General features: G+C 44.0%; 1 protein-coding gene and 1 long non-coding RNA gene across 9 annotated transcripts in view, besides 1 other annotated feature; one reads left to right on the forward strand and one right to left on the reverse strand.

Annotated features, from left to right (window-relative positions):
* ATP8B1 (ATPase phospholipid transporting 8B1) overlaps positions 1-25,897 on the reverse strand; it is a 156,890-nt gene that overhangs the window by 123,363 nt on the left and 7,630 nt on the right. The gene's annotated exons all lie outside the window — the stretch shown is intronic.
* LOC124904310 (uncharacterized) lies at positions 1,304-17,432 on the forward strand. Its single transcript, XR_007066388.1, has 2 exons — positions 1,304-1,442; positions 6,636-17,432. It is a non-coding gene; the product is annotated as an uncharacterized LOC124904310 (long non-coding RNA).
* Positions 6,037-7,236: an enhancer, noted in NCBI's record as "P300/CBP strongly-dependent group 1 enhancer chr18:55443057-55444256 (GRCh37/hg19 assembly coordinates)". NCBI's record gives its function as "activates an origin of replication core promoter dependent on BRD2, BRD4, P300/CBP, MED14 and CDK7 cofactors, with strong dependence on P300/CBP, by STARR-seq in HCT116 cells {active_cell/tissue: HCT116}" and the evidence as "EXISTENCE:reporter gene assay evidence [ECO:0000049][PMID:35650434]".

Consider the following 25,897-nt stretch of genomic DNA (forward strand, 5'->3'; position numbering starts at 1 on the left):
AATTCTGATTTCATAATGTATTAATGATAGCACCAGCTAGCATTTATTGAGCCAATGCTATGTGTCAAGTACCATACCAAACATTTAACACACACAAATGCATTTAAATATACAAGGATCCAATAAGGTAGGTCCTGTTATTCCCCTTGTATAAATGAAGACACTGAGGTCAAGAAACTTGTCCATGGTCTCACAAGTGTGCGGTAGAGTCCAGATTAAAACCCAGCCAGCCCAGCATCCTGCTCATAAAACCCTCATGCTGAGAACTGCTGAACTGCATTTTTTTTTTTTTTTTTTTGAGACAGAGTCTCACTCTCTCACTCAGGCTGAAGTGCAGTGGTGCGATCTCAGCTCACTGCAACCTCTGCCTCCCAGGTTCAAGCGATTCTCCTGCCTCAGCCTCCTGAGTAGCTGGGACTACAGGTGCATGCCACCATGCCCAGCTAATGAGAACTGCTTTTTCTTGCACTCAGGCAGAAGTGCCTCAGCCTAGCAAGCTTCCCTAGGTGCCCACCCACCCCAGCTGCCAATGGGAACCGCAGTCCAATATTTCACATTTCGGTTAGATGTCTCAAAATTTGTTTAGCACTTTCCAGAGCAGTCCACAAAATGCCACTTGCCTTGACAGGCCTGTGTTCTATATGCAATGGCACCACAGAATTTAGTTACCATCCACTTTGCCTCCATCCAGTTTGGGATCTTCCTCACTCCGTGAGACACAAGGCTCCTTTCTCCTGCCTCCAGCCGGCCCACCCTCAGAACAGGGTACCCCTGGAGCCAAATTGTTGAGGCAGGAGCTCCAGATGGGTAGAAATGGGATAGAGGAGAAGGAGAGGCTGAGACAGGGACTTTGAGATGCACTGCAAGCCAGCCAGTGGGGAGGCTACCCCTTGGGGGCAAACCACACGCAGGGGACAGGTATACTGGGGCTTGCCTACTGCGGCAGATCGCAAGTTCATGGCAATATACCTGTAGGTGAAAACATGTCAACATGCCCCAATGTTAAGGACAGAACAGCAAAGGGACAGTCAGATACGAGTTAAAGTCACCGTTCTTCTAGAAACATGGATGTGAATTTTGTTTGTTTTGTTCTGTAACAGAGTCTCGCTCTGTCGCCCAGGCTGGAGTGCAGTGGCACGATCTCGGCTCACTGCAACTTCTGCCTCCTAGGTTCAAGCGATTCTCCTGCCTCAGCTTCCTGATAGCTGGGATTACAGGCACGTGCCACCACACCTAGCTAATTTTTGTATTTTTAGTAGAGACAGGGTTTCACCATGTTGGTCAGGCTGGTTTTGAACTCCTTTTCAAGTGATCTGCCCACCTCAGCCTCCCAAAGTGCTGGAATTACAGGCGTGAGCCATTGCACCCTGCCTGGACTTGAATTTTTGTCAGAAAGAGATTTGCAATTAATGCTGATTGCAACTGATGGCAGAATTAAGATGGTAAGTCTTATATCACAACCACCTCCTAAAATCAAAATGGAGCTGTTTCTGTAGGAGTCAGACTACCTCCTTTAGAGGATATGGGAGTAGTCCATCACTCATTCAGACAGTTTTATTAAGCGTGATATAGTCTACCTCTCTCAGCACTGGGCGTGGTGCATCTCCTATTGTTAGGCAATTCCCTTACTTCCTGATCCTTCAATTCACTTACTTCCTGATCCTTCAATTCACTTTCTTTATAATTACGAAATGGTCTGAGATAACCAGGTTCCCCTTGCTCAAGCTTCCAAAAATCAGGCTGACAAGTTACATTTGGACATCTGCTCTTCAAAAGCCAAAGGCAGAGTTTTCTGTTAAATAATGAGCTGTCCAAGCATATTTTGATTCATTCAGGCCACATACAGCAGCAGGAGTTTCTGGGTGGTGCCTCAGGTCTAAATTTTACTGTAATCCTACAGGTTAGAAATCAATGAGCTGATCAGAACATATCCAGTTTCCAAAGATATGAGTGGCACCATCAATATAAATTAGTTCTCCAGTAATGTCAAAGGGCACACTTAGCAGTGCTGTCAGAACAACCAGAAAAACCACATTCAAAAGGGAACACAGCCTAAGGCACACAACTCATGATAAATACCTGGGAAAAAACCAGTTAGCTCTGCCTTTAGCTGTTCCCACCCCAATTTTCACGATTAAAACTACAATCGACATACTAATTAGTCGGCAGACATCTCTATAATGTTTATACTCCTAAAAAACATGTTATGTTGGTTAACTGAACCTATACAATACTTAGAAATCTCCCTAAAGTTATCCTAAAAACAAAACAAAAACAAAAACTTTGCAAGCTTTCTGAGTTCAAACCTGTAATTTTGTTACCTATCAGTGCTTTATAAAAGAGCTAAGATAATTATAAGGAACAAGCCTCCTAAAATGTAAAATTCCATTGTTCCTCTACTACCCGCCCATCAGTGGCAAATAAACACCTTACCATGACATTCACTGTGAGTATTGCTAGCGGGAGAAGTGGAGGAGAAAGCAGTCAATTATACCTGATGATCAGGGATGGAGAGAGACAGGAGGGATGCTGAGTTGGCCTTGAAGGTCAAGTCCCAAGCTGGGCCACTATCTGATTGGGAGATAGAAAGTGAGAGGAGAAAGGCATTTCTGGAAAGAAATCCCTGGGGGCAAATATTCTGCAGCACTGAAGGCACACAGGATTAGTTCAGTTACTAAAGTGCGGGTAGACAGGGGAGGAAGAAGAAGAGAGTTGGAAGAGGAGACTGGAAAGCAGACTGAGGCAAGGCTGGGAAGGCCTTGGGTGCTAGCGGCATTTGGAATTTGTGTGCTAAGCAGGGAGAGGCCATCTGAGTTCTCCCATGCATTGAGTAAACAACACGTCCCGACCTCGTGGCAGGTATTCAGTCAGCTGCTGGTGAGCAACGTGGCTCCTGTCCCTATGAAGCTTAAAGTCTAAGGTAAGGCAGACCCTAGGAATTCGGCGCACAGAAGCCTCTCTGCTGTGATGGAGAAGTAACAGGGACGATGAGGACATAGAGCAGGGAAGGGGGCCTAGGAAGCTATTCTGGAAGAAGTGAGTTGGTTCCTGAAGTTGAAGCACCTGCAGAGGTGAGGAGGTGGGGAGCAGAAGTGCAGGATCCATCTGTGCAAAGAGGCTGGGGCCTCAACAACATGAACTGTTTTAATCAGATTTGCATTTTAGAAATGATAACCCTAGGCCTGGAGCGGTGGCTCATGCCTGTAATTCCAACACTACGGGAGGCAGAGGCTCTACTAACAAATCTCTACTAAAAATACAAAAATTAGCTGGGTGTGGTGGTGCATGCCTGTAATTCCAGCTACTCAGGAGGCTGAAGCAGGAAAATCTCTTAACACAGGAGGCAGAGGACGCAGTGAGCCAAGATCACACCATTGCACTCCAGCCTGGGTGACAGAGCGAGACTCTGTCTTAAAAAAAAAAAAAAAAAGAAAAGAAAGAAATGATAACCCTGACCAAGGACTCCAGGAAAAGATGGTGTTAATCTGTGGCCAAGACAAGAGTGCAGAAAGTCCTTACTGTCCTCTGGCAACAGGGGCCAAAGGCGGAGGCTAATAAGGTGGTGCAGACAGAAAGGGTGGGATTTCTGGCAGAACTTTCAGAGGCAGAGGCAGCATTTTACAACTCACTTCATCCGGGCAGGGGGTCTGGGAGGAAAAACATTGAAAAAGGTGCCCAGTTTCTAGCCTTAGCAACTGCTGCAGGCAGCTGAACTCTGCAAGGGTTCTTATTTGGCCCTGACATTCTATACGCACTTATTAGCATTTTATTCAAGAAGAGGGTGGTTCCCCCAAATGTTTCCATATTTAGCCAAAGGAAGCTAAATTTCAAACTTCAAGTGTCTACTCAAACCTAAGACTGAACCCCTCAATTTCCCTCATAACTCCATTATCCCCCAGGCTTCCTCACGTCAGTAAAAGGCAACCCCATCTCCCAGGTGCTCATGCCAAACACCTAGAGTCATGCTGGAGTCTCATCTTCCCTCCTACCCTGCTCCCTATTCATCCGTAAGCCCTAGGCTCTGCCTTCCAAATGTTTCCAGAACCTAAAACCTCTCCTCACCTCCCTGCAAGCTGCTTGGCTGAAGCTCTGTTCTCCCTCACCCGGATTAGAGGTAGCCCCAGACAGCATGCCCTTCAGTCTAGCTCCAACATGGAGGGCAGGCTGATTCTTTCCAAAGGTAATCAGATGGAGTTACTCCTCGGCTCGAAACTCTGCAGTGGGTTCTCACTTCTCTCAGAGTAAAACCCAAAATCTACCTGCTCTCTTTCCCTCTCATCTACAGCCACCCTGCTGTCTCCCTGGTCCTGGAGCTTGGGGCCACACAGTGTCTGTTCCTGTACCTGGAATGCTCTTCCCCCGTAGCCACAAGGCTTAGCCCCTCACCTTACTGTCCTAGCTCTAATGTCACCTTTTTAGGAGCCCAATCAATCACCACCATATTTAAACCCCAGCCTTGCCAGTCCCCCTTCTTTACATTGTTGTCCATAGCACTTCTCATCTGCTATCAGACTTTAAAATTTATTAGGCTGGGCACAGTGGCTCATGCCTATAATCCCAGCACTTTGGGAGGCCAAGGCAGGTGGAACACCTGAGGTCAGGAGTCTGAGACCAGCCTGGCCAACATGGCGAAGCCCCGTCTCTACAAAAATACAAAAATTAGCTGGACATGATGGTGTGTGCCTGTAATCCCAGCTACATGGTAGGCTGGGGCAGGAGAACTGCTTGAACCTGGAGGCGGAGGTTGCAGTGAGCTGAGATTGTGCCATTGCACTCCAGCCTGGGCGACAGAGTGTGAGACTCCATCTCAAAAATAAATAAAATTTATTTATTAATAATCTCTTCTAACCGGAATGTACACTCCCAGAGCAAAGGGATTTTTGCTTATTTTGTTTAGCTACATCCCCAGCACCCAGAATACAGTACAATGTACGGTAACTATCTTACAGATGTTTGTTGACTGAATGAAAAGTCACCTATTAATAAGGCTCCCTGAGTCACCTGGACAAAATAGTAAGCCCTCACCTCTTTTGCCCTTCATGCTTATTTATTTTTCCTTGCATATATCATCAACGTGTGATAAATGTTAATACCACATATTAGTGTGTTTATTCTCTTCTCCACACAAGAATGCCAACTCCATAGGGGCAGGAATCTTGTCTCTTTTCTCTTTGTTGTATGATGAACACCCAGGACAGAGCCTGGCACAGAGGAGATGAGAAAGAGAAGGAAGGAGAGACAGAGGTCAGGTGTGGTGGCTCATGCCTGTAATCCCAACACTTTGGGAGGCCAAGAGGGGTGCACTGCTTGAGCCTGGAGAGTTCGAGACCAGCTTGGGCAACATGGTGAAACCCCGTCTCTACAAAAAGTACAAAAATAGTAGTTGGGCGTGGTGGCATGTGCCTGTAGTCCCAGCTACTTGAAAAGCTGAGTCGGGAGGATTGCTTGAGCCCAGGGGTCAAGGCTGCAGTGAGCAATGATCATGTCATTGCAGTCCAGCCTGGGTGACAGATGGAGACCCTGTCTCAAAAAAAGAAAAGAGAAAGAGAAGGAAGGAGGGGGAGAGAGACGAAAGAAAGAAAAAGAAAGGAGGAGGGAAGGAGGAAGGAGAGGGGCGGAATGGAGGGAAAAGGAGAAGGAAAGACAGAAGAAGGAAGAGAGGGAGGAAGGGAGAAGGGAGGAAAGAGAAAGAAGGAGACAGGGAGTGCGGAAAGAAATAGAAAGGAGGAAGGAATTCTAACTCCATATTATCAAGGTCACAGATGAGTAGCCTAAAATAAAAAATTGGTTGTTCTACCTAGAGCAAGAGATTCTGTCAGGATTCTGTCAGAGAGCAGTGAAACAACTGGCCATGTTTTTTTTTTTTTTTTTTTGAAATGGAGTTTCGCTCTTGTTGCCCAGGCTGGAGTGCAATGGTGCATTCTCAGCTCACTGCAACCTCCACCTCCTGGGTTCAAGCAATTCTCCTGCCTCAGCCTCCCAAGTAGCTGAGATTACAGACATGTGCCACCACACCCGGCTAATTTTGCATTTTTAGTAGAGACGGCGTTTCTCCATATTGATCAGGCTGGTCTCAAACTCCCGACCTCAGGTGATCCGCCTGCCTTGGCCTCCCAAAGTGCTGGGATTACAGGCGTGAGCTGCTGCGCCCAGCCTAGGCATTTCTTTAAAATCTATCCATTCATGTGCTCCATTAGTCAAAATAAAAGGCAATATCTAGTAATGATGCCAGGATAAGGAGTAGGCTACATTGGATTCTAATCAAAGGAGGCATGAGTCACTGAAAAACCATCATCATTTGTTGGCTGCTTTCTTCTATAGTTTCTGAACAATAAATAAGAAGGATTGGCCAATCTTGTTACTTGGCATAATAAACCAGGTAAGCATACTTGATGATTCAATTCCATTTGGAACCGATACTACACGTTAAGGAAACAAAACTAACATTGGCATTCAGCTGAGTTCTGTCCAACGACCCTTTGCCTCCACTGTGTCTTGTTGGGCATGCTGCTATAATTTTAAAGGTAATGACTGTAATAGTACCACCTCGCATTCATGTGAGTTCACGTGAATTAGGCTTCTACCACTCTTGAAAGTAATTTTAATTATCTCGTTTAATGACCTTCACCTTGCAGGAAAGAAACAGAGACATGAAGAGGTTAAGACAAGTGACGGAGGTCTCAGGGCCAGGCAGGGAAAGAGTGACTTGTTTTGGAGGGTGGGAGCCCACCCACACAATCAACCACAGTCACCCAGATCTGCCCACTGAGGTGAGAGAAAGGAGGGGAAATAAAACAGCAAGCCCTTTTCTTTCCTCCTCATATCTGTTCTCAGGACTCATTTCCTGTCTAACTCAGAGTCACCTTAGATCCTTAAAAGTGACTGGAACCAAGTCACTAAAAAAAAAAAAAAAGAAAGAAAAAAGCAATTATTTTTCACAATGTGAAGCCTTCTTTGGGAGAAGTTGGCTAGAAAATAATAGGAGAAAAGGCTGGAACAACTGTCTAGGACATTTCCTAATATGTTATTTTCACCCCCCTTCCCTCAAAGGTCAACAAGATACTCCACTGTGGAAGCTTCTTCAAAAGCAGTTCATCTGGATGTCTTCAATACTCCAGATGGCTTCTCTAAGTCCTACTCCAGGCCGATCGTTATGCAATCTGTTATCTTCCTTTCCAACTGTTTTCTCAGGCTTTTTTTTTTTTTTTTAAATAGGGTATCACTGTCGCCCAGGCTGGAGTACGGTGGTGTGATCACAGCTCACTGCAGCCTTGACCTCTTGGGCTCAAGTGATTCCTCCCACCTCAGCCTCCCATGTAGCTGGGACTATAGGCATGTGCCACCACACCCAGCTGATTTTTACATTTTTTGTAGAGATGGGATTTCGCTATGTTTCCCAGGCTAGTCTTGAACTTTTGGGTTCAAGCAATCTGCCCGGCTCAGCATCTGAAAGTGCTGGAATTACAGGTGTGAGCCACAGTGCCTAGCCAGGCTAATTTCTTATCTATTGAAAGCTGGAATCCAATGCAGGAATCCAATGCAGAAACTATGTAAGATTTCAATCTGTTATATATCTACCATCTTCCTGAGACAGGCCATTGAAAGTCAAATTCCACTGTCATTTGTTCCAGGGGAAAAAAGAAACATGAATATATATGTTTGTAAACACAAAGATGATTTCTAAAAAGATAACCAATAAACTGGTGATGGCCCGTGCCTTTGGGTAGGAGAGTTGGGTAACTGGGTTAAAAGGAGGCAGGAAAACTGACACTTTATTTTTTATTTATTTATTTATTTTGAGACAGGGTCTCACTCTGTTGCCCAAGCTGGAGTGCACCGGTGGGATCTCGGCTCACTGCAACCTCCGCCTCCCAGGCTGAAGTGATCCTCCCACCTCGGCTTCTCAAGTAGCTGGGATTACAGGCATGTGCCACCATGCCCAGCTAATTTTTTGTAGTTTTTGTACAGACAGGGTTTTGCCGTGTTGGCCAAGCTGGTTTCGAACTTCTGGGCTCAAGCGATCCTCCTACCTTGGCTTCCCAAAGTTCTGGGATTACAGGCGTGAGCCACCTTATCTGGCCAAGGCTGACACTTAATACCCTTTTGTACCTTTCGAAGGTTGTACCATTTGCATGTATTACTTATTCCAAAAATTAAATGAAAAAACAAATAATAGGTGGAACAAAACTGAAGCTTGGAAACTGTGGGAGCCCTTTATCAGGAAATAACAAACATGATGGTATCACATCTTGACTTTCCAGTGATGGTCAACAACAGAAGCATTTACCAGATAGTGAGCTCCCCACATGCAAGCGGCAACTTTAATTGTACCTTAAATCTTTGCCCTTGTATTAGTTATCTGTTGCTGCCTAACAAAATACCCCCAAATTTAGCAGTTTGAACCACAAGTATTTATAATCTCAGTTTCTTTTTCTTTTTCTTTTTTTTTTTTTTTGAGACGGAGTCTCGCTCTGTCGCCCAGGCTGGAGTGCAGTGGTGCGATCTCGGCTCACTGCAAGCTCCGCCTTCCAGGTTCACGCCATTCTCCTGCCTCAGTCTCGGGAGCAGCTGGGACTACAGGCGCCCGCCGCTACGCCCGGCTAATTTTTTGTATTTTTTTTTTAATAGAGACGGGGTTTCACCATGTTAGCCAGGATGGTCTTGAGCTCCTGACCTCGTGATCCGCCCGCCTCGCCCTCCCAAAGTGCTGGGATTACAGGCATGAGCCACCGCGCCCGGCCTATAATCTCAGTTTCAATGGATCAAGAATCTGGGTATGGCTCAGGGTCTCCTCCCAAGGCTGCAGTCAAGGTGTGAGCCAGAGCTGCAGTCACCTAAAGGTCGGCCTGGGGATGATCCACCTCCAAGCTCACTCACAGGGCTGTTGGCAGGATTCCATCCTCTTGGGCTGTTGGCCAGAGGCCAGCTCCAGTTCTTTGCCATGAATGTCTCTCCATGGGGCAGCTGGCTTCTCTTACAGTAAGTGAGAGCATGAGAGAGCATCAGCAAGAGGGAAGTGGGGTGTTTCTGTGCCCCAGCCTCAGAAGTGACATCCCATCACTGTGGCCATATTTTATTCACTAGAAGGGCATCACCAGGTCTAACCCCTGCTCAAGGGAGAGGATTTCCCAGAAACAGAAGAAATCACAAATTACACTTCACAAGAATCCTGAGATATTTTAGAAAGGTTCCAAATTTGGCCAAAAGTAGCTTAAGAAGGCTTTTATGGACCAAGCATAAGAAGTTTAGCAGGGCTGGGTGTAATGGCTCACACTTGTAATTCCAGAACTTTGGGAGGCTGAGGTGGGCAGATTGTTTGAGCCCAGGAGTTCGAGACCAGCCCAGGCAACATAGCAAAACCCCATCTCTACAAAAAATGCAAAAATTAGCTGGGCATGTGCTTGTGGTCCCAGCTACTCGGGAGGCTGAAGTGAGAGGATTGCTTGAGCCTGGGAGGTCGAGGCTACAGTGAGCTGTTACTGCACCACTGCACTCCAGCCTGGGCGACAGAGTGATACCCTCCCTCAGAAAAAAAAAAGGAAGAAGAAGAAGGAGAAGGAGAAGAAGAAAGAAGTGTAGCAGCAGAGAGAAATTACTTCACTCAAACCAGCATTGAGAGAGGCAGAGAATTAGGAGCACTCACAGGCAGAGCTGAAAGGCTCCCAGAAGGGGCAAAAATAAAATGTAAAATTAACCTTTGAAATCCAAAGTTGGTATCAGGTATAGCCTAATGTTCACTTTTTAATTTTAGCAACACCGAACATGGTATTTCTACCTTATTTTTAGTATAATTATCCATTCTTAACTTGTGTAATGAAAGAAAAAATAGGGGCGGGCATGGCGGCTCACGCCTGTAATCCCAGCACTTTGGGAGGCCGAGGCGGGTAGGTCACGAGGTCAGCACTTCGAGACCAGCCCAACCAACATGGTGAAACCCCGTCTCTACTAAAAACACAAAAAAATTAGCTGGGCGTGGTGGCGGGTGCCTGTAATCCCAGTGACTTGGGAGGCTGAGGCAGAATTGCTTGAAAACTGGAAGACAGAGGTTGCAGTGAGCCGAGATTTCCCACTGCACTCCAGCCTGGGAAATAAGAGCAAAACTCCGTCTCAAAAAAAAAAAAAAGAGAAAGAAAGAAAAAATAACAAAAATAACATAGGTAAATTAACAGTTATAATATTAAACAGTCTCTTTTGGCTAAACCTGTTATAAATCACCACGGCATATAAATGTTAGAGCTTAGATGCTGAATAAACCAACTGGCCTTGAAGCCCACATTTCTAATTCTCATAACAGATTTATTATGAATCTCAAATTTCACAAATTTGTCTGTCTGTGTAAAATTGTTTTGGAAGATGTCAATAAATGTAGAGGAATGTTTAAAATCTGAAGTTGGAAAAAGGTAAAGCAAACATTAGTTTTTAATCTTTTGCTCACTTGAGTAAATCCTTGAAAGGATTAAAAAATATCCAACTTGTGAAATTTGTTTAAAGTCCTTTTAAAATAAAAATGCATAAATGTATAATTACTCTAAACCTAACTGAAGACTTTATAGAATTCACCCAATTTGAAAACAGGTCTTCTGGCCTGTTTCCCAAGTCATTATGCACAGCTGTGGGAAACATCCTGTTGTATGTTTACATATATTAACAGCTTCAGGAATTTCACAATTAAAACTATGGTGGGCTGGTTTCCAATTCAGGCAGCTGGGTGAGGGGGTGTGGAGAGCAGGCAAACCAGAAATAAAAACAAGCTTCTTGAAAGATGGGGGAAAGGAAATCGTAACTACTTAGTAATCAGGAGTCCATATAGTTTGCCAGTTCTACTAAACGCTGGAGGGATTTCATTTAAACCCTAAGAAATACACTTGTTCAATCATTTTGCAGCCTTCAAAATCTCTCAGTTGGCTTCAACCAAGAGGTTGCCTGATGGAGGTAATATTGTACACGATATGTAAAAAACTTTTATTTTTTTCTGTGGACAGTTTCACCCCAACAGAAGGAAGCTGTGGTTTCACCTTTCTCTCTTTTGTTTTTCCAGCATGCCTGCCCCTCGTCCTGACATAACTGATTAGGAAATGATTTCTAAATGGTCAAGAGTCCAGCCTCGATAGCCACTTCTCTGATTCCAACAGAATTTCTACAGAAGACAATTTCCTTGTCTCAGCAAGGTATGTATGATATATGTGGCCTGGCCAGGCCGGCTGCTCAAACAGAGCTGTGTTTGGGTCAGCCCACTGTTTAAAATGTTAAAATCAGACATGAAGACCATTCACATAACCACTGCTGGTCAGATATGAGTCATCTCCAAGAACACCAAAAAAGGAAGCATTAAATGCTGATTGGTCTCCTTCAAAATCACTTGGGAAACTCCAGAAAGGGAAGGGATAAAACACAGGAACTTCTACTTCTTCAAAGTCTCCCGAGGTGATTTTTAATACTCAGAAGTTGGGACTGAGTTCCTGATCTAGGTTGAAGTGTAATGTGAATTCCATTCTTGCCAGTAGGTGCGTTATTTTAATCATTATCTTTATTCTTGAGACTGTTTCACTCCATCTGGAGACAGCTTTGTTGAGTTTTGGCAACACTGCAGAGTTGTTAAAATCATAAAACAGAACCACCTGTTTTTGAGCTATATGGGTTATTAGAAAAAATATCCAAAATTCTTTATTTTTACAAGAGGAATCCAGAGCTCAGAAAGATTAGGGGAGGTGTGAGTGCTGAACTTGTATTTAGTCTCCCTGGGCCTCAGTGTCCCCATCTGTAAAGTGAAAATTAATATATTCATTAATTGATCAGTTATTGAATGCCTACTAGGTTGTGGACTCCAGGGATGAAGAAGATACGTGATCTCTCACTATAACTTAAATCCTAACACAGACTGTTACAGTTCAATATGGGAAACATAGGTGGGTGCAGTGGCTCGCACCAGTAATTCCAGTACTTTGGGAGGCCGAGATGGGAGGATAGCTTGATGTTGATGCCAGGAGTTTGAGACCAGCCTGAACAACATAAGGATACCCCTGTCTCTACAAAAGAAGAAATTTTAATTAGCCAGGCATAGTGGCACACACCTGTAGTCCTAGCCACTCAGGAGGCTGAGGCTGGAGGATGGCCTGAGTCCAGAAGTTTAAAGCTGCAGTGAGCTGTGTATGATCAGGCCACTGCACTCCAACCTGGGCAACAGAGCGAGAACCCATCTCTAAAAACCAGTAATAATAATATTTAAAATACAGTAAATGCCAGGAGAAGACAATATGCTCAGGTTGCAGTGGGAGCTTGGCAAAACCATACCTAACCCAGCCTGGGAAGCACATGGGAGGCCTCTGCCATAGGGCAGAAAGCTGCTGCAGTGAAATCCATTTAATTGGAGAATGGAGCAGAAAGGGCAGAAGATGCAAAGAAGCCCTGCTGTCTATAGAATTTGCGAAAATAAGATGAAGCAATAGTTTGCCAGCAGCAAATAACTACACAGATATGAGCTATGAAATTAAGTAAGACTCATCAAGGCCACCCACAGCTGCTGCGTTGCAGACGCCAATCCAGCATCCTTACGTTACACCATTCATTTATTTCAATCATTTTCCCCATAGGTTTATATCTAGACATTTCCATAAACCCAAGTAAATTTTTTATTATGCGTGTAGGCATCCTATAAAGAGTAGACTCTTACATTGTCTACTTTCCAAGCCATTCTCTGTCTTGACTACGCATGAGAGAATCAGCCAGGTTTATCCCAGACTGGCTAATAAGACTCTGGCAAGGAGAACTCAGGCATCAATGTTTTTGATGCTTCCCAGGTGAACTTGAGAATCTCATTTATCAAAAAGTCAAGAATGAATGGTGCGCACACACACAGACAAAAAATTCTTCAGTCACCTCTGGTTTATGCATTTTTAGAAAGGCTCCAGATAATATGAAATCTATTTGTTTGAGCCTTGACTATAATATGATTCTTTTAGGAAAACAGATTTACTGTCTAAATGATACCTGGCTCAGATTAATTCTAGTTTGTCTCTTTTTTTTTTTTTTTTTTTTTTTTTTTGAGACAGAGTCTCACTCTTGTTGCCTAGGCTAAAGTGCAATGGTGCAATCCTGGCTCACTGCAAACTCGCCTCCTGGGTTCAAGCAATTCTCGTGGCTCAACCTCCCGAGTAGCTGGGATTACAGGCACCCACCACCATGCCCAGCTAATTTTTTTATTTTTAGTAGCGACAGGGTTTCACCATGTTGGTCTGGCTGGTCTCAAACTCCTGAGCTCAAGTGATCTGCCTGCCTCAGCCTCCCAAAGTGCTGGGATTACAGGCGTGAGCCACGGTGCCCGGCCTAGTTTGTCTTTTCTAAAGATGCACTGGCTGAAGGGAGGCGGGGACGTTCCTAGAAGTATGATGGGTGACAGAGAACACACTATTCAGGTTAAGAATGCTCTACAGAGAGACTATAAAGTAGAAACTGTAAAGATTACAGGGGAAAGAGGGCATCTGATGGAACGCAGGCATGGATAAGATAATATTTATATATCTTTATGTTTAACAAAAGTTCTAACATGCTTACTGTGGTCCTTTGAAACTGATGACAGGCACACAACAGGGTGGACACATATGGTTTAACAAACAAGTCTTTTTTATGTATTTATTTCCTTTAATAATATAGAAAGACTGTGGGGAATAAGAACTTTAAAAATATCGAATATGCCTGGTAGATGCTGCCTTAAGTGAAGCAAGACTCCTGATATTCACAAGAAGAGACAATATAAAAGGAAATTGAAGACCGGGCATAGTGGCTCATACCTGCAATCCCAGCAATTTGGGAGGCCAAGGCAGGTGGATCACTTGAGGTCAGGAGTTCAAAACCAGCCTGGCCAACATAGTGAAACCCTATCTCCACTAAAAATACAAAAATTAGCCAGGCATGGTGGCACGCGCTTGTAATCCCAGCTACTCAGGTGGCTGAGGCAGGAAAATTGCTTGAACTGGGAGGCAGAGGTTGCAGTGAGCTGAGATCGCGCCACTGAACTCCAGCCTGGGTGGCAGAGTGAGACCCCGTCTTAAAAAAAAAATAAAAATAATAAAGGAAATTAAGCATTGAAGAAAACACAGAAGCCGTCTCCTCTACCATACATCGAAGGGCGCATGGTGACAGAGCTGTTGTCATTTCAACAGTATTTCTGGGCTTCCCCTGTTCTCTACATCCTTGCTACTTGAAAAAGAAAGAGTGAGCAGAGGACATAACTCAGGAGGGACTCCTACTTTAATTTTTACTGGGGTGGGCAGAGACTACGCTGAAGAAATGACATTTGGGCCAAAAGGCAAAAGATAAGGAGCCTTTCAGAGGAAGAGCTTTTCAAGCGAGAAAGCAGCAAATCTGAAGTTCCTGGGACAGGAAGGGACTCGTCATGCTTCAGAAACTGAAGGAGAAAAAGAATGGAATTTGCAGGGGGAAGCCGGGGTCAGGGCGGGCTGGGCATAGAGAGCTGTGGAGAGAAGGTAGCTGTTGTTAAAACCACAGCATGAGCTACTGCAAGGGTTGGCAGGATCTGAGTGGGTGCTCTGGTTTGGAAGGGGCAGGGTAGAAGTGTAGCCCTCATGTAAGAAGGCTACTGGAATGGTCCAGGAGAGGGAGGATGACAGCTTGAACCTCGCGGATGGCAGCGGAGATAGAGGTTATCAGGTGGAGTCAAGGTCTTCCAGAGGTAGAAGCAACAGGCCTTGGAGACGGATTGGAAATGAAAGCAGGGTGCAGTCTGGAAGAGAAAGGGGTCAGAGATCAAGTCCAGGCTTAAGCCAGAAGGCTTAAGCACCAGCTAGAGGGGTATCATCTTCTCAACTGATGTCAGAGTTCAATGCTCGAGGTGCTGTGTTTAGGGGCATGCAGGAGAGTATTATGAAACGTGCAGGAGAGTATTATGAAACGTGCCTATGACTAAGTCCTGCGAAACCGTAGCATTTTAAGAGGACTCCTACCCGTGGTTTAGGGTAGAATTCCTCAGCCTCAACCCTAGTGACGTTTTGGGTAAGATACTTCTTTGTTGTAGAGGCTGAGCTGCATATTGTAGGATATTTAGAAGTATCCCTGGCCTTGACCACTGGACGCTTGTAGCATCCTGAATTGTGACAACTTAAAATGTTCCCCAGGGAGCAAAAGTCACATCTGGTTGACTAAGTTAAGTATACTTTTACAAAGTCTTTAATAAACTGGTGCCGGTCTTCTGTCTCAAAAAGTTCACGGGCAGGCCAGAGTAAGAGCTTCACAAATCATTTCAATTTTCTCATGTTCCGGCTTTGTTGACAAGCACCTAAAATTGACTTTAAAAAACCAGACCTAGTATTAAGGTGGATGCTGCCTCATCGAATTAGAAAACAATTGGAGTTATACTAACCCCAAAATACACAAGATCTTGAAAAATCTTTATCCTTTGTCTTTTGACAACAACATAAACCCAAAATAGAGCAGTGAGTGGATATAGGTGTTAGCTGGATTTTCCCCTGTATGTAAATATTTCATAGCTCAGAGTTATGGGATGGTGTTTATTTCAAATAACATTTGTAAAAATATCTCTAACCCAAACCAAAATGCCATAAGAGTCCTTTTTTTCCTAAGTAGATGCTTAAAACAAATTCCCGATATTTTTGTTGCATTTCCAAAGTATGGCAGTAAGTATCAAAAGTTAGTGCAAAAATCTTTAAATATCTATTTTTGTTGTTGTTGTTGTTTTGTCTCGTTCTGTTTTGTTTTTTTGAGACGGAGTCTCGCTCTGTTGCCCAGGCTGGAGTGCAGTGGTGCAATCTCAGCTCTCTGCAAGCTCCACCTCCAGGGTTCAAGTGACTCTCCTGCCTCAGCCTCCTGAGTAGCTGGGATTACAGGCGCGTGCCACCATGCCCAGCTAATTTTTGTATTTTTAGTAGAGATGGGGTTTCACCATGTTGGCCAGTCTGGTCTCAAACTCCTCACCTCAAGTGATCCACATGCCTCAGCCTCCCAAAGTGTTGGGATTACAGGCATGAGCCACCGTACCTGGCCGTAAGTATCTATTTGTGTTTGTGACTATTATACTAAGTTATGAAGTCCAAGAAAGAACTTGGTTATTCTCCTCTGGCAGCTTAGTGAAGGAGTAAAAGCCATAAAATTCACTTAATTAGGCCACGGTGGATTCTTTTCATTGTAGAGTCACTATAAAAACAGCCAACAATTATTGGTTCGATGTTGTTCAATGGCCTTCTCTCTCATAAAACATGTGTCTAATAACGGCAGCTAATGCTAGTACCTATCAGTGTGGAAAGGCATGTTTCTGACTTTACTATTTAATGTGTAATTATAGAACAGGTGCTACAATTTAAGAACTGCGCTGGGGGCTGAGCTACAACATGAGTCTTGCCAAGGTGCTATTCTCACCAAGGTGGCCACTAGTGTAAACACAGACAAATAGACCAGCAATGACAATATAGCTCAGGGATGCCACACCCCTAGGCCCACATCTGTCCTGCTTCTCACCTGCTCAAGGTGACAGGACTAAGGAATCCTAACACACCTTTGCTGCCGTGGCTGGACATCACTTCAGAATCCAGCTCGTCAAAAGCCTCTCAGCCAGGGATTCTCAATCTGGAGCAGGCATCAGAATCACCTGGAAGTTTTATTAGGACACTGATTGCTGGGTCTTAACCCCAGAGCTTCTGAGTCAGTGACTCTAGAGTGCAGCCCCCAGTCATGCTGATGTTGCTGGTCCAGGGACCATACTTTGAAAACCAGTGTCTAGGCAACCACCACTGATCAAGCCACATCTGATATAAAAGCTAGCTACCATCTCCGAGATGGTACCACCTATGCTAAGATGAGAATGTACAGGGAACCACTAGAACAAAGGAAGAGTCCCTCACTTTGGTCTGGGAAAGACAAGGAATCAGGAAATCTTCCAGGAGGAGGTAGCACCTCAAGTGATCCACCCATCTCGGCCTCCCAAAGTGCTGGGATTACAGGCGTGAGCCACTGTGCCCAGCCAAGCCCCTTTATTTCAAAAACACAATGTGTTCTTCCAATGGTTCATGAAAACTAGAAACACAAAAAAATGTTAAAGGGTGTTTTTAAAAATTAAGGTTTGCTTGAAAGAGATACTCTTATCTTTTTTACGTCTAGTAAGGGGTATTGAAATACAGCAGATATGGAGAACAACATCGACTTGGAACAGAAGAATGACCCCTAACAACTTAGAGCTTAGACAAATTTGAGAGTTTACAAAGACTGCCAGACAGGATGTTATGTTAGAAATACATTTAAGCGATATTAAAATAAGTATTCAAATACAAAATTTTGAAGACAGGAAACTTCATAATATTCATGTTAAATTCTCAGGATCCTCTGGACCGGAAATCATTGTATAATGCCTAAGATATCGTGGCAAACAAAATTTTACAAGCAAATAAAATGTACTTTAGTTCTCACAACGGTCACCAATCTTTATATACCCTTAGTCCTCTGCCAAGTGCAATTAAAGCCACTTTATGCTTACTGATTTCCTTATGACACACACACAAGAACCTAAAAGACAACATAAATTCGTCTGATAAAAAGTGAGCCTAAAAGCTCCATCTAGAGCACTGCGAGAGGAGCTCCATCTAGAGCACTGCGGGAGGAGCTCCATCTAGAACACTGCGGGAGGAGCTCCATCTAGAACACTGCGGGAGGAGCTCCATCTAGAACACTGCGGGAGGAGCTCCATCTAGAACAATGCGGGTGGAGCTCCATCTAGGACACTGTGGGTGGAGCTCCATCTAGAACACTGTGGGTGGGGAGTGTTGGCTCCGCTATACCATTTCCTCTTGTAATTTTGGCTTCTTTGTCATGAGCTTCTTTTTCAAAGTTGGCTTTTAGAGCCCATTGGTTACTGATATTTACTGATTTTCAGTTTTTAAAAAGTCTATTCCTTTAAAAATGCTCTAAAGTTTGTCAAACCTCAGGGGTTAGATACCTTTTTGAATGTCAGTAGTTTTTCTGAAGGTTTAACATCTATCAAAATAGAGAAAAAACACCTTTAAAATAAATAGGCCTCATTTAAAATTTTATACATCTTCTAAAGGGACCTATATAGTATCCATTGTGTAGACATGACAGTACTGGATAAAAGTGAATATTAGTCCCAGCCACTTGGGAGGCTGAGGCGGGAGGATCCCTTGAGCCCAGGAGTTTGAGGCTGCAGTGAGCCATAATTTGACACTGCACTCCAGCCTGGGCAACAGAGCGAGATCCATCTATAAAACAAGACAAACTGAATACGGAATGAACAAAATAAAACCTATTGTCTATCCCTGCTACTGAAACACATATATTTTATTGTCATCTGGACCTACAAAGCTTGAAATGATTTACAACCTGTACATTTTAAAAATTGGAAGCTTATGACAAATGAGATCACAGAGAGGCATGGAATTACAATGAGAGGGTATCCTATAAAACATCAGGTCCATCATTTGAAGCACGAAAAAATCGGAGCTTAGAAAATTAACTGGCCGTGCATGGTGGCTCCCAGCACTTTGGGAGGCCAAGGCGGGAGGATCACATGAGGCCAGGAGTTTGAGATCAGCTTGGCCAACATGGTGAAACCCCATCTCTACTAAAAATACAAACAATTAGTCGGGCGTGGTGGTGCCCATCTGTAATCCCAGCTACTTGGGAGGCTGGGGCATGAGAATCGCTTGAACCCAGGAGGCAGAGGTCCTGGTGAGCCGTGATTGTGCCACTGCACTCCAGCCTGGGTGACAGAGTGAGACTCTTATCTCAAAAAAAAAAAAGAAAGAAAGGAAAAGAAAAGAAAATTAACTGCTCATCACTGAACTGAAAGTTAGGAAAAGAGTACCCTAACCCAGTTCCTGGCACCACCCACTCCCCCAAACCCTGCTTCCCTTGTGTTTCTCATCTGTCCCATGGGGATAATTCCTGTCTTGCCAACTCCCAAATGAGGAGATTTTAAAACTATAAAGTGCTTTAAAAATGTAAAGAATTGCTATTATTAGCTGAGGTCAGCCAGCCCATTCAGTGACTCACCAGAGCTGACATCTCCTGGGCTTGTTTCCCAAAACCAGGCTGCTGTTTATTACAAATCATAGATATTAAAGATGGAAAAAATATCACAACACAGCCCTTTTAGGAGAATAGGAAAATAAATCCTCCTTCCACTCCCACCCCCAAATAAAACAAAATGCTTGGCAGATCCAGGAGTTTCTATAAGGAGCTTGAATATACAGGAAGTCCACAAATTACAAATGATTTTGTGTTCCAAGAGTTCATTTCTGGGTGGGTTACCAGATGAAATATAGGACACAGAGTTATATCTGACATTAACATAAAGAACACATCATTTTTAGTGTAAGTCAGTCCCAAACATTGCATAGGACACACTTATACTAAAAAAAATTACTCATCATTTATCTGAGATTCAAACTGAACTGTGTCCTGTATTTTTATTTGTTAAATTTGGCAACCCTATCTCTGAGTCATTTGGATCGATTTTCCAACCTTCGGCTGTGAGGTCTCGGAAAGAACCCTCGCCTTGTGAGTCTGGAAACACGACTGCAATTTCTGGTTTTGTCAATTACTAGTTCTGAGACTTCAGGCAAGTTATAATTCCTTTGCTTGCAAAAAGAGACCAGGAAATTAATACACCACGGGACTAAGTGGGTCAATATAACATGTGGAAATACAGTACATTGAGCACAAAAGCAGCACCACTTTGTTATACTACCCTACACACATGAAAAGAGTGATTTGGTTTTTAAGTCAGGCCACACAAGCCAATTTTAAAAGTCGGTTTTCCACAAGAAATTCCCTGGCTTTAGCAAGTTCCTATACCATACAAAGCGCCCCTTTCCCACATCTGAGAACGTTTTGAGCCATGTATGGTGGTCTTGTCCACTAGGCAACCCTGTATCAGCCCTCCACCCTGTCATCTTTGTCCATAAAGCACGGCTTGTGACTTTGCACAAATGCTTTTTTTTGCTCACATGTACATACTTTGTTGCCAAAAAATAGTGGATTATTTTACATAAATTAGTGCAAACTAAAAGGCTGATACCAATGATAGGAAGCACTGGCTTCCGAAGCGTTTCCAGCATCCCCAAACAGCTCCTTAAACCCAATCCTATGTTGCAATTCCCAAAACTGTGTCTCCAACCTAGACTTCTGAATCACCAATGCTTGACCCCCGACCACACCTAGGTGTCCCAGCAACTCAAACTAAACATGATCAAAGCTACATTCATCTTCTAAAACTACTCCTTGGTCTCAGTGATGCCATCACCTTTAGTCGCTTATGTTAGAAATTTGAGAATTGTCAACAATTCTCTTCTTTTACATCTTCAAATCCAACCCATCACCAAGACCAGGATTCCCCTTGTGAAGTGCGGCTCCTACCTTCCAGTTCTCATCCCCACTCCCATCATCGGGCCCAAACCCCCATCCTCTCTCTCTCATGGACACTGCAGCAGCCTCCCAGATTTCCTCTCCTTGCTTCTGGCCTCATTCCCTGCCCCCACCCCCATCCCCCACCAACAACCAACCCATTCCCCATATCGCAGTCTCTGGATTATCAAACAAAACCAGGAATCAAATCACATCACGCCGCTGCTTAAAAATGTTAGTGACTTCCTATCAGGTTCTCTGCAGTTTGGTGCCTGCCTCCCTTATCCCATGGTAGCCCCAGCATCATGTCACACCCAGTATTCTGGCCTCTCACAATTCCTAGAGCACAGCACTAAGCTCTCACCCACCCCAGGGCCTTTGCACATGCGGTTCCCATTGACTGGACCACTCTTCCCCTGACTGGTACTTTCTTATCCTCTAGGTCTCAACTTAAGTATAACCTCCTTCAAGAGACCCCACTCCCTGGGCCATTTTTTAAATTATGGTAAAATGGACAAAGCATAAAATTTACCATTTTAACTACTTTTATTTTATTTATTTTTTTGAGACAGAGTCTTGCTCTGTTGCCTAGGCTGAAGTGCAGTGGTGCGATCTCCACTCACTGCAACCTTTGCCTCCTTGGTTCAAGCAATTCTCCTGCCTCAGTCTCCCGAGTAGCTGGGATTACAGGCACGCACCACCACACCTGGCTAATTTTTGTATTTTTTAGTAGAGATGGGGTTTCACCATGTTGGCCAGGCTGGTGTCGAGCTCCTGACCTTAGGCAATTTGTCCATCTTGGCCTCCCAAAGTGCTGGGATTACAGGCATGAGCCACCGCGTCCGGCCTTATTGCCTTCTAAGTGATATTAAGTGCATCCACATGATTCTGCAATTGCTACCACCACCCATCCCTAGAAATTTTTCATCTTCCCAAACTGAAACTCAGGGTCCATTAAAAACTAACTCTCCATTCCCCACTGGCTCCAGCCCCTGGCAACCACTGCTCAGTTTTCTGTCTCTGAACTTGACTATTCTGGGCACTTCATATAAGTGGAATCACAAAATATTTGTTTGTCCTTTTGCATCTCATTTATTTCATTTAGCATAATGTCTTCAAAGTTCATCCATGTAGCATGTATTAAAATTTCCTTCCTTTTTTCTTTTTCTTTTCTTTTCTTTTTTTTTTTTTTTTTGAGGCAGAGTTTCACTCTGCTGTCCATGGTGGAGTGCAGTGGTACAATTTTGGCTCACTGTAAACTCCGCCTCCTGAGTTCAAGCGATTCTTGTGTCATAGCCTCCCGAGTAGCTAGGATTACAGGTGCCCACCACTGCACCTTTTTGTATTTTTAGTAGAGACGGGGGTTCACCATGTTGGCCAGGCTGGTCTTGAACTTCCGGCCTCAAGTTATCCCCCAGCCTCGGCCTCCCAAAATGCTGGGATTACAGGCATAAGCCACCGTGCTCAGCGAAAATTTCCTTCCTTCGTAAGGCTGAGAAACATCCTAATCATATGGGTACACCAATTTTGTTTATTCATTCATTCGTCGGTGGATGCCTGGGTTACTCCTAGGCCATTTTAAAGTAGGTCTTCATTATTCTCTTAGAAATATCTTATTTTTCTTTAAGGCCTTTATCACAGATTATAATTCTAATATCAAGTTGTTTCATATCTCTTTTGTTCAATATTTTGTTTAGTCTCTATCTCTCATCACACTCTCAACAACCCCATAAGCTCCCTGAGGGGAAGGGCATGTCTGCTTTGCTCCTCACTGTGTTTACTGCCAGCACCTGGCAACGTAGTGGGTATTTAATAAGTAATTGTTGAATCACTGAATGAAAGAAAATCACTAGGCCACCTGAAGGCCCCTTGTCTTTAGAGTCACTGTGGACCATGTAATCAATTGTGAAGGTGAGCCAATGCATACTTACATCCACACACACATATTTGTAGCTCTCTGGGCACAAAACATTCCTTTTATAACATGTCAGTCTATTTGCAACTAGCACACATTTCCATGGCCTGTGCTTTTTTTGAAGGATGTATTACGTGCACCAGTAGCTAGTGTGTTTGGCAATATAAAGAAATTAAGTATTGACAAATAATACAATAAGGATGAAATTTTATTAATTTTTTTTTTTTACAATTAAAAAGAATTGAGACAGGGTCTTGCCACGTTGCCCAGGCTGTTCTCGAACTCCTGAGCTCAAGTAATCTGCCCACCTCAGCCTCCCAAAGCGCTGGGATTACAGGTGTGAGCCACCACACCCGACCGTAATATACATGAAAAACATCATGCTAAGTGTAAAAAGATGATCACAAAAGACCACATATCATACGATTCCATTTACATAAAATGCCCGGAATCGGCAAACCCACAGAAGCAGAGGGTAGATGAGAGGCTGCCAGGGGCTGCGGGGACAAGGCGATAAACCAGGCAGAGCTAAAAGGTACAGGATTTCTGTTAGGGGTGATGAAAAGGTTCTGACGTAGATTGTGGCAACAGTTGCACAGCTATGTAAATATACTAAGAACCATTGAATTGTATATTTTAAAAGGCTGAACTGTATGGTACATGACTTAGATCTCAATATAGTTGTTTAAAACAAAAAAATCCATGTGTATGGAGATGGGGAGTGGCTGGAAAAAGCTTAACCTCCCAATTAGGCAAAAGACAAACAGGATAGGGAGGGGGACTAGGGGCTTGTGAGTGGCAATAGCTGCAGCAGCAGCCCTGGCAGGACAGCCTGTGGGTTACAGACCGCCCTCCTGTCAATGAAGTCAAGTCCTCTGCTTCCTGAAAACCGCCTCTTTTTTCTAACAATGTTCTTTCCCCCAAACTAGGAAGACAGGCTGATGGTAAACACAAAGTTCTCTGAACCAAAGCCTTATATGTATGTTTCTGAGGAGGCTCTTTATAACCTAGTTGCAAGCAATCTGAACACAGCCCAGCGAATTTCCAGCTTTTGAAACTCAGATTTCCTTTTGCGACCCAGGTTCTGCTGAGAAAGTTATCTTTGGCTCCTCTCTCTCTCACACCCCACATCCCATCTGTTCGGAAGTCCTGTTGGCATTTCGATCTATCAAAATAAAAGTTGCACGTATGCCTGTGTCCGATCCCATTCTCTCTGTGTCCTTTCTCCTCTGTCTTTCTCAAGAATCTGACATCTCAGCCCCACAGCTACCATCCTGGCGGACACTACCACCCTGGGAAAAGCTTCCACCCTCACTTGCCTGGCTTTGCCTCCTGCTTGAACTCCCGGATTGGGAGCCTTCTGCCTGGACTGGTCTTCACACAGATCACACCACTCCAAGGAGCAATGTCCTGCACTGAGCCATCTTCCAAGAAATCAAAGCCAAAGTCTTTACATAGCCTGGCAAGCCCTGCAAGACCTGGCTCCCCTTCCTCTCTGCCCTTACCTCCTTCTTCTCCTTCCCTCCCCCACTTACTCTTTGGAGGAACAGCTAGATAAGCCAAGCACTCTTACCCTAGGGCTTCTGCAGCAAGTTATCTGTCCCCTCTGCCTGGGACACTCTTTCCCCAAAACTTCCTGTGCCACCCTCTCTCCTCCTGAGTGTTTGCTCAAATATGACCTTCTCAAGGAGGTTCCACTGGCCACTCTATTTACAATGGCAGCTTGCACCCTTGCCCTCCCATTCTCTCGGTCCCAGTGACCTCAAAGATTCAGGGCATGTTAGCTGCTACTTACATCACCATTCACAGCCTAAGGTTCTCAAATTGACTTTTAAGAATTTTCATGTTGTTCTACAGAAGGAGAGAAAGCCTAAGACTGATAACAAAAGTCTAAATGCTCTTAATGCAGCTGAACTAGACAAATAAAGTATCAGATCGCCAAGAGATTAACCATGTTAACCCCAGTATTCTTTTTGTGGCTGTGGTTGGCATTAAATAGGAAAGTGGGTGGACACGTAGGGATAGTAGTATTTTTGGTTGGCTTCAAGCTTTGATGAGTTTTTGTGTGTTTTGTTTTGTTTTACTTTAAAAACCTGCTTTTTAAACACGTAAATCCTTATTTGGCTAATTTTCAGGGCACAGTGTGAGTATAAACTCATATGAGAGTCTATTGTTCTCTAGAAACTACAGATTAAGGTGTCTTTAACAGACTGATGTCTAATTATTACATAAAGGCATCTGATTTTTATACCAGGACACCTATAAGCACATTATTATAGAGGTGGAACATTTGATAACTCTGCCATGCTACAGTCTGTAACTGACCTTTTGCCTTGCCATGGATTCTACCCTAAGGGGAAAAACAACCTGACATTAAAAAAAAAAAAAAAAAAAAAAGTCAATTCTATGGAATGTCATCTCTGGAAGGTGGCTGTGGTTAGCAGAGATGGCCAGATAGTAGGGCCACAACCCTGGGGCTTTTACACCCACCCTGACACAGAGGAAAGAGTCACCCATAGCACAGACCAGTTGGATGATAGAATGGCATATGACGGTCATGGTGGTGCGTGCCTGTAATCCCAGCTACTTGGGAGGCTGAGGCAGGAGAATCACTTGAACCTGGGAGGCGGAGGTTGAGGTTGCAGTGAGCTGAGATTGCACCATTGCACTCCAGCCTGGGCGACAGAGCGAAACTCCGCCTCAAAAAGAAAGAAAGAAAGAAAGAAAGAAAGAAAGAATGGCATATGACTGCCAGCTCAGTGAGAGCAGCTGCAGGTGAAAAGGAGAGGCACGTGCTGCCTTCAGGTGTCTTCAACAACACCCTCCTCCCACATTCCCTGCATTCTTATTTCCATGCTACTCTGGAGGAAAGCATGGTAATAAATACTATAATACGTGGCCCTGCCCATCTTATTTATGAAGGATACATTTTACCAAACTGAATAAGGGGGGCTCAAAAACTGACATGAACAAACAGATATGTGTATGCCCAGGTCCATGGCAGCATTAGTCACAATAGCCAGAGGTGGGCCAGGCATGGTGACTCACACCTGTCATCTCAACACTAGGAGGCCAAGGCAGGAGGCTAGCTTGAGCCCTGGAGTTCAGCCTGGGCGACATATCGAGACACACAGACACACACACACACATTTTTTTTTTCTTTTATTAGCTGGGTGTGGTGGTGAGTGTCTGTAGTCCCAGACATTTGGGAGGCTGAAGCGGGAGGATGGCTTGAGCCCAGGAGTTCAAAGCTGCAGTAAGCTATGATCACACCACTGCACTCCAGCCTGGGCAACAGAGTGAGACCTTGTCTTAAAAAAAATTTTTTTAATTGAAAAAATTACAGTAGCCAGAGGTGAAAACTACCCAAATATCTATCACAGATGAATGGGTAAACAAAATGTGGTATGTGCATACAATGGAATATTATTCAGCCCTAAAAAAGGAAGGAAATTCTGACTTGTGCTACAACATAGATGAACCTTAAGGACATTACACTAGTGAAATAAGCTAGTCATAAAAGGGCAAATATTGCATGATTCCACTTAACCTGAGGTACTGTAGAATAGTCAAATTCATGGAGAAAGCAGAATAGAG

The sequence above is a fragment of the Homo sapiens genome, chromosome 18 (assembly GCF_000001405.40).
Source record: "Homo sapiens chromosome 18, GRCh38.p14 Primary Assembly".
Classification (NCBI taxonomy): domain Eukaryota; kingdom Metazoa; phylum Chordata; class Mammalia; order Primates; family Hominidae; genus Homo; species Homo sapiens.